This window comes from Homo sapiens, chromosome 3, assembly GCF_000001405.40.
Source record: "Homo sapiens chromosome 3, GRCh38.p14 Primary Assembly".
Taxonomy (NCBI): domain Eukaryota; kingdom Metazoa; phylum Chordata; class Mammalia; order Primates; family Hominidae; genus Homo; species Homo sapiens.
In genome coordinates this window covers 93,786,494-93,798,831 of record NC_000003.12, presented here as the reverse complement: position 1 = coordinate 93,798,831, position 12,338 = coordinate 93,786,494, and the positions used below count along the sequence as shown (strand labels likewise).

General features: G+C 37.2%; 2 annotated features.

Moving 5' to 3' along the window:
• Positions 1,712-2,213: an enhancer, noted in NCBI's record as "OCT4 hESC enhancer chr3:93515463-93515964 (GRCh37/hg19 assembly coordinates)". NCBI's record gives its function as "activates a minimal SCP1, AML or CMV promoter by ChIP-STARR-seq in naive H9 embryonic stem cells {active_cell/tissue: H9 hESC(naive)}" and the evidence as "EXISTENCE:reporter gene assay evidence [ECO:0000049][PMID:30033119]".
• Positions 11,489-12,085: an enhancer, noted in NCBI's record as "OCT4-NANOG hESC enhancer chr3:93505591-93506187 (GRCh37/hg19 assembly coordinates)". NCBI's record gives its function as "activates a minimal SCP1, AML or CMV promoter by ChIP-STARR-seq in primed H9 embryonic stem cells {active_cell/tissue: H9 hESC(primed)}" and the evidence as "EXISTENCE:reporter gene assay evidence [ECO:0000049][PMID:30033119]".

The window sequence follows — 12,338 nt, the reverse complement described above, 5'->3', positions numbered from 1 at the left end:
AATCTGCAAAGGGATATTTTTGAGTGCTTTGAGGCCTATGGTGAAAAAGGAAATATCCTCACATAAAAACCAGAAAGGAGCTTTCTTAGAAAGTGCTTTGTTATCTGTGCATTCATCTCACAGAGTTAAACCATTCTTTTGGTACAGCAGTTTGGAAACACAGTGTTTGTAGAATCTGCAAAGGGAGATTTGGATTCTCACAGAGGCTTGTGGTGAAAAAATGAATAACTTCCGATACAAACCTGAAAGAATCTTTCTGAGAAACTGCATTGTGATGTGGGCATTCATCTCACAGAGTTGAAAAATTCTTTTGATTGAGCAGTTTGGAACCACTGTTTTTCTAGAATCTGCAAAGGGATATTTGTGAGCACTTTGAAGCCTATGGTGAAAAAGGAAATATCCTCACATAAAAAATAGAAAGGAGCTTTCTTAGAAACTGCTTTGTGATCTGTGAATTCGTCTCACAGAGTTGAACCATTGTTTTGATTGAGCAGTTTGGAAACACAGTGTTTGTAGAATCTGAAAAGGGATATTTGTGAGTGGTTTGAAGCCTATGGTGAAAAAGAAAATATCTTCAAATAAAAACTAGACAGAAAGTTTCTGAGAAACTGCTATGTGATGTGTGAATTCATCTCTCAGAGCTAAACGTTTCTTTTCATTGAGCAGTTTGGAAACTCTGTTCTTGTAGAATCTGCAAAGGGATATTTCTGAGCACTTTGAGGCCTATGGTGAAAAAGGAAATATTTTCACATAAAAACTGGGCAGAAGTTTTCTGAGAAACTTCTTTGGGATGTTTGCATCCGTCTCACAGAGTTGAACCATTCTTTTCATTGAGCAGTTTGGAAACAGTCTTTTGGTGGAATCTGCAAAGGGATATTTGGGAGTCCTTTGAAGTCTATGGTGATAACAGAAATGTCTTCACATAAAAACTACAGAGAAGCTTTCTGAGAAACTTCTTTGTGATGTGTGCATTCATCTCACAGAGGCAAACATTTCTTTTTATAGAGCAGTTTAGAAACTCTTTTCTTCAAGAATCTGCAAAGGGATATTTGTGAGCGCTTTCAATCCAAGGGTGGAAAAGGAAATATCTTCCATAAAAACTAGACAGAAGTTTTCTGAGAAACTTATTTGTGGTGTGTGCATTTGTCTCATGGAGTTGAACCATTCTTTTGATCAAGCAGTTAGGAAACAGTCTTTTTGAAGAACCTGCAAAGGGATATTTGGGAGTGCTTTGAGGCCTGTTGTGAAAAAGGAAATATCTTCACATAAACATCAGAAAGAAGCTTTCTGAGGAACGACTTTGCAATGTGTGCATTCATCTCACACAGTTGAACCATTCTTTTGATTGAGCAGTTTGGAAACCGTCTTTTTATAGAATCTTCAAGGGATATTTGGGACTGCTTTGAGGCCTGTGGTGAAAAAGGAAATGTCTTCATATAAATACTACACAGAAGCTTTCTGAGAAACTGCTTTGTGATGTGCACATTCATCTCACAGAGGTAAACATTTCTTTCCACTGACTAGTTTGGAAACTCTGTTCTTGTAGAATCTGCAAAGGGATATTTGTGAGCACTTTGAGGCCCATGGTGCAAAAGGAAATAATTTCACATAAAAACTGGACAGAAGCTTTCTGAGAAACTTCTTTGTGATGTGTGCATTCATCTCACAGAATTGAAATATTCTTTTCATTGAGCAGTTTGGAAACTCTGTTTTTGTAGAAATTGCAAAAGGATATTTGGGAGCACTTTGAGGCATATGGTGAAAAGGTAAATGCCTTCTCATGAAAACTAGACAGAAGCTTTCTGAGAAACTTCTTTGAGATGTGTGCATTCGTCTCACAGAGTTGAATCATTCTTTTCATATAGCAGTTTGGAAACACTCTTTCTGTAGAATCTGCAAAGGGATATCTGATAGCGCTTTGAAGCCTATGTTGAAAAATGAAATATCTTCACAGAAAAACTAGACAGAAGCTTTCTGAGAAACTTCTTTGTGATGAGTGCATTTGTCTCACAGAGTTGAACCATTCTTTTGATTGAGCAGTTTGGAAACAATCTTTTTGTTAAATCTGCAAAGGGATAATTGGAGCTCTTTGAGGCCTATGGTGAAAAAGGAAATGTCTTCACATATAAACTAGAAAGAAGCTTTCTGAGAAACTGCTTTGTGATGTGTGCATTCATCTCAAAAAGTAAACCTTTCTTTTAACTGAGAAGTTTGGAAACTCTGTTCTTGGAGAATCTACAAATGGATATTTGTGAGCGCTTTGAGGCCTATGGTGAAAAATGAAATATCTTCACATAAGTACTAGACAGAAACTTTCTGAGAAACTTCTTTGTGATGTGTGCAATCAAGTCACAGAGTTGAACCATTCTTTTCATAGAGCAGTTTGGAAATAGTCTTTTTGTAGCATCTGCAATGGGATATTAGACAGCACTTTGAGGTCTATAGTGGAAAAGGATATATCTTCACATTAAAACTAGACAGAATCATTCTGAGAAACTTCTTTGTGATGCGTGCATTCATCTCACATAGTTGAATCTTTCTTTTGATTGAGCAGTTTTGAAACACTCTTTTTGTAATATCTGCAAGTGGATATTTGGAGCGCTGTGCGAACTATAGTGGAAAAGGAAATATCTTCACATAAAAACTAGACAGAAGCATTCTGAGAAACTTCTTTGTGATGTGTGCATTCATCTCACAGAGTTGAACCTTTCTTTTGACTCAGCAGTTCTGAAACACTCTTTTTGTAGAGTCTGCAAGAGGATATTTGGAGTGCTTTAAGGCCTATTGTGGAAAAGGGGATATCTACACATAAAAACTAGACAGAAGCATTCTGAGAAACTTCTTTTTGATGTGTGCATTCAACTCACAAATTTGAGCCTTTCTTTTGATTTAGCAGTTTGGAAACGGTCTTTTTGTAATACTTGAAAATGGATATTTGGAGCGCTTCGAGGCCTGTGGTGGAAAAGGAAATATCTTCACAGAAAAACTAGTCAGAAATATTCTGAGAAACTTCTTTGGGATGAGTGAATTCATCTCAAAGAGTTGACCCTCTTTTTTGATTGAGCAGTTTTGAAACACTCGTTTTGTAGGATCTGCAAATGGATATTTGGAGGGCTTTCTGGTCTATAGTGGAAAAGGAAATATCTTCATATAAAAACTACACAGAAGCATTCTGAGAAACTTCTTTGTGATGTGTGCATTCATCTCATGGAGTTGAACCTTTCTTTTGATTGAGAAGTTTTGAAACACTCTTTTTGTAGAATTTCCAAGTGTATATTTGGAGCACTTTGAAGCCTATGGTGCAAAAGGTAATAACTTCACATAAAAACTAGACTGAAGCATCCTGAGATACTTGTTTCTGATGTGGGCATTGGTCTCAGAGAGTTGAACCTTTCTTTTGATTGGGCAGTTTTGAAACACTCTTGTAGAATCTGCAAGTGGATATTTGCAGTGCTCTTCAGCCTATAGTGGAAAAGGAAATATCTTTACATAAAATCTAGACAGAAGTATTCTGTGAAACTTCTTCATGATGTGTGCATTCATCACACAGTGTTCAACTTTTTTTTGATCGAGCAGTTTTGAAACACTCTTTTTGGAGCATCTGCAAGTGCATATTTGGAGTGCTTTGCGGCCTATAGTGGAAAAGGAAATATCTTAACATAAAAACTACACAGAATCATTCTGAGAGTCTTCTTAGTGACGTGTGCATTCATCTCACAGAGTGTAAACTTTTTTTTGATTGAGCAGTTTGGAAACCGTCTTTTTGTAGTATCTGCAAATGGATATTTGGAGTGCTTTGAGTCCTATGGTGGAAAAGGAAATATCTTCACATAAAAACTAGACAGAAGCATTCTGAGAAACTTCCTTGTGATGTGTGCATTCAACTCACAAAGTTGAGCCTTTCTTTTGATTGAGCAGTTTGAAAATGGTCTTTTTGTAATATCTGCAAATGAACATTTGGAGCGCTTTGTGGCCTGTGGTGGAAAAGGAAATATCTTCACAAGAAAACTAGTCAGAAACATTCTGAGAAACTTCCTTGTCATGTGTGCACTCATCTCACAGAGTTGACACTCTCTTTTGATTGAGCAGTTTTGAAACACTCGTTTTGTAGGATCTGTAATTGGATATTTGGAGCACTTTCTGGCCTATAGTGGATAAGGAAATATCTTCACATTAAAACTAGACAGAAGAATTCTGAGAAACATCTTTGTGACGTGTGCATTCATCTCACCGAGTTGAACCTTTCCTTTGATTGAGCAGACTGAAACACCCTTTTTGTAGAATCTGCAAGTGGAAATTTGGAAGGCTTTGAGGCCTAGGTTGGAAAAGGAAATATCTTCACAGAAAATCTAGACAGAAGCATATTGAGAAACCACTTTGTGATGTGAGCATTCATCTCATGGAGTTGAACCTTTCTTTTGATTGAGCAGTTTTCAAACACTCTTTTGGTAGAATCTGCAAGTGGATATCTGGAGCGCTTTGAGGCCTATGGTGGAAAAGGAAATGTCTTCACATAAAAACTAGACAGAAGCCTTCTGAGAAACTTCTTTGGGATGTGAGCATTCATCTCACAGAGTTGAACATTTCTTTTGACTGACAAGTTTGGAAACTCTCTGTGTAGAATCTGCACGTGGATATTTGGAGAGCCTTGGAGCCTATAGTGGAAAAGGAAATATTTTCACATAAAAACTAGACAGAAGCATTCTGGGAAACTTCTTTGTGATGTGTGCATTCATCTTACTGAGTTGAAACTTTCTTTTGATTGAGCAGTTTTGAAACACTCTTTTTGTAGAATCTGCAAGTGGATATTTGGAGCGCTTTGAGGCCTATGGTGGAAAATGAGATATCTTCATATAAAAACAAGACAGAAGCATTCTGGGAAACTTCTTTGTGATGTGTGCACTCATCTCACTGAGTTCAACCTTTTTTTTGATGGAGCAGGTTTGAAACACTCTTTTTGTAGTATCTGCAAGTGGATATTTGAAGTGCTTTGTGGCCTATAGTGGAAAAGGAAATACCTTCACATAAAAACTACACAGAGCATTTTGAGAGACTTCTTTCTGATGTGTGCATTCATCTCACAGAGTTGAACCTTTCTTATGATTGAGCAATTTGGAAACCGTCTTTTGGTAGTATCTGCAAATGGATATTCAGAGCGCTTTGGAGCCTATGGTGGAAAAGGAAATATCTTCATATAAATACGAGACAGAAGCATTCTGAGAAGCTTATTTGGGATGTGTGCATTCATCTCACAGAGTTTAACATTTCTTTTGATTGAGCAGTTTCGAAACACTGTTTTTGTAGAATCTGCAAGTGGACATTTGCAGCGCTTTGCAGCCTATAGTGGAAAAGGAAGTACCTTCACATAAAATCTAGACAGAAGCATTCTGTGAAATTTCTTTGTGATGTGTGCATTCAGCTCACTGAGTGGAAACTTTTTTTGCCTGAGCAGTTTTGAAACACTCTTTTTGTAGATTCTGTAAGTGGATATTTGGAGATTTCTGTGGCCTCTATTGGAAAGGTAAATACCTTCCCATAACAACTAGATGGAAGCATTCTGAGAAACTTCTATGTGATGTGTGCCTTCCACTCACGGAAATGAACCTTTCTTTTGATTGAGCAGCTTGGAAACAGGCTTTTTGTAGTATTTGCAAATGGATATTTGGAGTGCTTTGCGTTCTATAGTAGAAAAGGAAATATATTCACCTAAAAACTAGACAGAAGCATTCTGAGAAACTTCTTTGTGAAGTGTGCATTCATCTCACAGAGTTGAACTTTTCTTTTGATTGAGCAGTTTTGAAACACTGTTTTTGTAGAATCTGCAAGTCGATATTTGGAGCGCATTTTGGCCTAAAGTGGAAAAGGAAGTATGTTTACATAAAAACTGGATAGAAGCATTACGAGAAACTCCTTTGTGATATGTGCATTCATCTCACAGAGTTGAACATGTCTTTTGATTCAGCAGTTTTGAAACACTCTTTTTGTAGAATCTACGAGAGGATATTTGGAGTGCTTTGCACCTTCTATTGGAAAAGGAAATATCTTCACATAAAAACTAGACAGAAGCATTCTGAGAGACTCCTTTGTGATGTGTGCATTCCTCTCACAGAGTTGAAACTTTCTTTTGATTGAGCAGTTTTGAAAAACTCTTTTTGTAGAATCTGCAAGTGGATATTTGGAGCGATTTGTGGCCTATATTTGAAAAGGAAATATCTTCACATAAAAACTACACAGAAGCATTCTGAGAAACTTCTTTGTCATGTGTGCATTCATCTCACAAAGTTGAACCTTCTTTTGATTGAGCAGTTTTGAAGCAGTCTTTTTGTGGAATCTACAAGTGGATATTTGGAGCACTTTGCAGCCTATTGTGATAAAGAAATGTCTTCACATATAAACTAGACTGAAGCATTCTGAGAAACATATATGTGATGTGAACATTCATCTCACAGAGTTGAACCTCTCCATTGATTGAACAGTTTTGAAACAGTCTTTTCATAGAATCTGGATGTGGATATTTGAAACGTTTTGCAGCGTATAGTGGAAAAGGGAATATCTTCAGATAAAATCTAGACAGAAGTATTCTGAGAAACTTCTTTGGGACGTGTGCATTCAACTCACTGAGTTGAAACTTTCTTTTGTTTGAGTAGTTTTGAAACACTCTTTTTGTAGAATCTGCAAGTGGATATTTGGAGATTTTTGCGGCCTGTAGTGGAAATGTAAATGTCTTCACACAACAACTAGAGAGAAGCATTCTGAGAAACATCTTTGTGATGTATGCATTAAATTCACAGAGCTGAACTTTTCTTTTGATTCAACAATTTTGAAACATTCCTTTTGAAGAATCTGCAAGTGGATATTTTGAGTACTTTGAAGCCTATGGTGGAGAAGGAAATATTTTGACATAAAAACTAGACAGAAGCATTCTGAGAAACTTCTTTGTGATGTGTGTATTCATCTCACAGAGTTGAACTTTTCTTTTGTTTCAGCAGTTTTGAAAACCTCTTTTTGTAGAATCTACAAGTGGATATTTGGAGCTCTTTGAGGCCTCTATTGGAAAGGGAAATATCTTTCATAAAAACTAGACAGAAGCATTCTGAGAAACTTCTTTGTGATGTGTGCATTCATCTGACAGAGTTGACCCTTTCTTTTTGTTGAGCAGTTTTGAAAGCCTCTTTTTTTGGAATCAGCAAGTGGATATTTGGAGCGCTTTGAGGCCTATAGTGGAAAAGGAAATATCTTCATAAAAAAACTAGACAGAAGCATTCTGAGAAACTTCCTTGTGATGTGTGCATTCACCTCACAGAGTTGAACTTTTCTTTTGATTGAGCAGTTTTGAAACAGTCTTTTTTTTTTTTTAATTTTTTTTTTTATTATACTCTAAGTTTTAGTGTACATGTGCACATTGTGCAGGTTAGTTACATATGTATACATGTGCCATGCTGGTGCGCTGCACCCACTAACGTGTCATCTAGCATTAGGTATATCTCCCAATGCTATCCCTCCCCACTCCCCCGACCCCACCACAGTCCCCAGAGTGTGATATTCCCCTTCCTGTGTCCAAGTGATCTCATTGTTCAATTCCCACCTATGAGTGAGAATATGCGGTGTTTGGTTTTTTGTTCTTGCGATAGTTTACTGAGAATGATGGTTTCCAATTTCATCCATGTCCCTACAAAGGACATGAACTCATCATTTTTTATGGCTGCATAGTATTCCATGGTGTATATGTGCCACATTTTCTTAATCCAGTCTATCATTGTTGGACATTTGGGTTGGTTCCAAGTCTTTGCTATTGTGAATAGTGCCGCAATAAACATACGTGTGCATGTGTCTTTATAGCAGCATGATTTATAGTCCTTTGGGTATATACCCAGTAATGGGATGGCTGGGTCAAATGGTATTTCTAGTTCTAGATCCCTGAGGAATCGCCACACTGACTTCCACAAGGGTTGAACTAGTTTACAGTCCCACCAACAGTGTAAAAGTGTTCCTATTTCTCCACATCCTCTCCAGCACCTGTTGTTTCCTGACTTTTTAATGATTGCCATTCTAACTGGTGTGAGATGATATCTCATAGTGGTTTTGATTTGCATTTCTCTGATGGCCAGTGATGATGAGCATTTCTTCATGTGTTTTTTGGCTGCATAAATGTCTTGTTTTGAGAAGTGTCTGTTCATGTCCTTCGCCCACTTTTTGATGGGGTTGTTTGTTTTTTTCTTGTAAATTTGTTTGAGTTCATTGTAGATTCTGGATATTAGCCCTTTGTCAGATGAGTAGGTTGCGAAAATTTTCTCCCATTTTGTAGGTTGCCTGTTCACTCTGATGGTAGTTTCTTTTGCTGTGCAGAAGCTCTTTAGTTTAATTAGATCCCATTTGTCAATTTTGTCTTTTGTTGCCATTGCTTTTGGTGTTTTGGACATGAAGTCCTTGCCCACGCCTATGTCCTGAATGGTAATGCCTAGGTTTTCTTCTAGGGTTTTTATGGTTTTAGGTCTAACGTTTAAATCTTTAATCCATCTTGAATTGATTTTTGTATAAGGTGTAAGGAAGGGATCCAGTTTCAGCTTTCTACATATGGCTAGCCAGTTTTCCCAGCACCATTTATTAAATAGGGAATCCTTTCCCCATTGCTTGTTTTTCTCAGGTTTGTCAAAGATCAGATAGTTGTAGATATGTGGCATTATTTCTGAGGGCTCTGTTCTGTTCCATTCATCTATATCTCTGTTTTGGTACCAGTACCATGCTGTTTTGGTTACTGTAGCCTTGTAGTATAGTTTGAAGTCAGGTAGTGTGATGCCTCCAGCTTTGTTCTTTTGGCTTAGGATTGACTTGGCGATGCGGGCTCTTTTTTGGTTCCATATGAACTTTAAAGTAGTTTTTTCCAATTCTGTGAAGAAAGTCATTGGTAGCTTGATGGGGACGGCATTGAATCTGTAAATTACCTTGGGCAGTATGGCCATTTTCATGATATTGATTCTTCCTACCCATGAGCATGGAATGTTCTTCCATTTGTTTGTGTCCTCTTTTATTTCCTTGAGCAGTGGTTTGTAGTTCTCCTTGAAGAGGTCCTTCACATCCCTTGTAAGTTGGATTCCTAGGTATTTTATTCTCTTTGAAGCAATTGTGAATGGGAGTTCACTCATGATTTGGCTCTCTGTTTGTCTGTTGTTGGTGTATAAGAATGCTTGTGATTTTTGTACATTGATTTTGTATCCTGAGACTTTGCTGAAGTTGCTTATCAGCTTAAGGAGATTTTGGGCTGAGACGATGGGGTTTTCTAGATAAACAATCATGTCGTCTGCAAACAGGGACAATTTGACTTCCTCTTTTCCTAATTGAATACCCTTTATTTCCTTCTCCTGCCTGATTGCCCTGGCCAGAACTTGCAACACTATGTTGAATAGGAGCGGTGAGAGAGGGCATCCCTGTCTTGTGCCAGTTTTCAAAGGGAATGCTTCCAGTTTTTGCCCATTCAGTATGATATTGGCTGTGGGTTTGTCATAGATAGCTCTTATTATTTTGAAATACGTCCCATCAATACCTAATTTATTGAGAGTTTTTAGCATGAAGGGTTGTTGAATTTTGTCGAAGGCTTTTTCTGCATCTATTGAGATAATCATGTGGTTTTTGTCTTTGGCTCTGTGAAACAGTCTTTTTGTAAAATCTGCAAGTTGATATTTGGAGCGATTTGAGGTCTAAGGTGTAAAAGGAAGTCTCTTCACATAAAAATTAGACAGAAGCATTCTGAGAAACTTCATTGTGATGTGTGCATTCAACACACAGAGTTGAACCACTCTTTTGATTGAGAAGTTTAGAAACACTCTTTCTGTAATATCTGCAAATGGATAATTCGAGCGTTTTGTGGCCAATTGTGGAAAAGGAAATATCTTCTCATAGAAACTGGTCAGAAGCATTCTGAGAAACTTCTTTGTGATGTGTGCATTCAACTCAAAGAGTTGAACCTCTTTTTAGATGGAGCAGTTTTGAAACACTCTTTTTGTAGAATCTGCAAGTGGATATTTTGAGCACTTTGAGGCCTATGGTGGAAAAGGAAATATTTTGACATAAAAACTAGACAGAAGCATTCTGAGAAACATCTTTGTGATGTGAGCATTCAACTCACAGAGTTGAACCTCTCTTTTGATTGAGTAGTTTCAAAACACTCTTTTTGTAAAATGTGCAAGTGGATATTTGGATTGATTTGAGGCCTCTGGTGTAAAAGGAAATATCTTCACATAAAAGGTAGACAGAAGTATTCTGAGGAACTTCTTTCTGATGTGTGCATTCATCTCACAAAGTGGAAACTTTCTTTTGTTTGAACAGCTTTGAAACACACGTTTTGTAGAATCTGCAAATGGATCGTTGGAGCTCTTTGAGGTTTATGGTGGAAAAGGAAATATCTTTACATAAAAACTAGAGAGAAGCATTCTGAGAAACCTCTTTGTGATGTGTGCATTCAACTCACCGAGTTGAATGCATCTTTTGATTGAGCAGTTTTGAAACACTCTTCTTGTGGAATCTGCAAGTGGATATTTGGAGAGATTTGAGGACTTTTAGGGAAAAGGAAATTTATTCACAGAAACACTACACACAACCAATCTCATAAATTACTTTGTGATGTGTGCATTCAACTCACAGAGTTGAACGTTAGTTTTGATTGAGTAGTTTGGAAACAGTCTTTTTGTAGTTTCTCCAAATGGATATTGGGAGAGGTTTGAAGCATATGGTGGAAAAGGAAACATTTTCACATTAAAACTAGACAGAAGCATTCTGAGAAACTTCTTTGTGATACATGCATTCAACTCATAGAGTTGAACCTTTCTTTTGATTGAGCAGTTTTGAAACACACATTTTGTAGAATCTGCAAGTAGATATTTTTAGCCATTTGAGGTCTATGGTGGAAAATGAAATATCTTCAAATATAAACTAGACAGAAGCATAATGAGAAACTTTTTTGTGATGTGTGCATTCATCTCACAGAGTTGAACTTTTCTTTTGATTCCACAGTATTGAAACACTCTTTATGTAGAATCTGCAAGTGGATATTTGGAGCCCTTTGCGGCCTAGGGTTGAAAAGGAAATATCTTCACATAAAAACTAAACAGAAGTATTCTGAGAAACTTCTTTGTGATGTGTGCATTGATCTGACGGAGTTGGACCTATCTTTTGATTGTGTAGTTTTGAAACACTCTTTTTGTAGAATCTGCAAGTGGATTTTTGGAGTGATTTCAGGCCTATGGTGGAAAAGGAAATACCTTCACATAAAAACTATACAGAAGCATCCTGAGAAACTGCTTTGTGACGTGAGCATTCATCTCACAGAGTTGAACGTTTCTTTTGATTCATCAGTTTTGAAACACTCTTTTTGTAGAATCTGCAAGTGGATATTTGGAGAGCTTGGAGGGCTGCGGTAGAAAGGGAAATATCTTCATATAAAAACTGCACCGAAGCATTCTGAGAAACTTCTTTTTGATGTGTCATTCATCTCACATATTTGAACCTTTCTTTTGATTCTTCAGTTTTGAAACACTCTTTTTGTAGTATCTGCAAGTGGATATTTGGAGCGCTTGGAGCCCTGTGGTGGAAAAGGAAATACCTACACATAAAAACTACACAGAAGCATTCTGAGAAACTTCTTTGTGATGTGTGTGTTCACCTCACAGAGTTGCACTCTTTTTTTGATTGCCCAGTTTGGAAACTGTCTTTATGTGGTATCTGTAAATGGATATTTGGAGAGTTTTGACGCCTATGTGGGAAAAGGAAATATCTTCAAATAAAAACTACACAGAGGGATTCTGAGAAACTTCTTTGTGATGTGTGCATTCATCTCACAGAGTTGAATCTTTCTTTTCATTGAGCAGTTTTGAAACACTGTTTTTGTAGAATCTGCAAGTGGATATTTGTAGCACTATGAGGCCTATAGTGGAAAAGGAAATACCTTTACATAAACACTAGAGAGAAGGATTCTGTGAAACTTCCTTGTGATGTGTGCATTCATCTCACAGAGTTGAACCTTTCTTTTGATTGAGCAGTTTGGAAACTCTTTTTGCAGAATCTGCAATTGGATTGTTGGAGCGCTTTGAGGCCTAGTGTGGAAAAGGAAATATCTGCACATAAAAAAAAACACAGAAGCATTTTGAGAAAGTTCTTGGTGATGTGTGTGTTCAACTCACAGTGTTGTAAGTTTCTTTTGATTGAGCAGTTTTGAAACAGTCTTTTTGTAGAATCTGGAAGTGGATGATTGGAGCCCTTTGTGGCCTATGGTGGAAAAAGAAATATCTTCACATAAAAACTACACAGAAGCAATCCGAAAAAACTTCTTTGTGAAGTGTGAATGT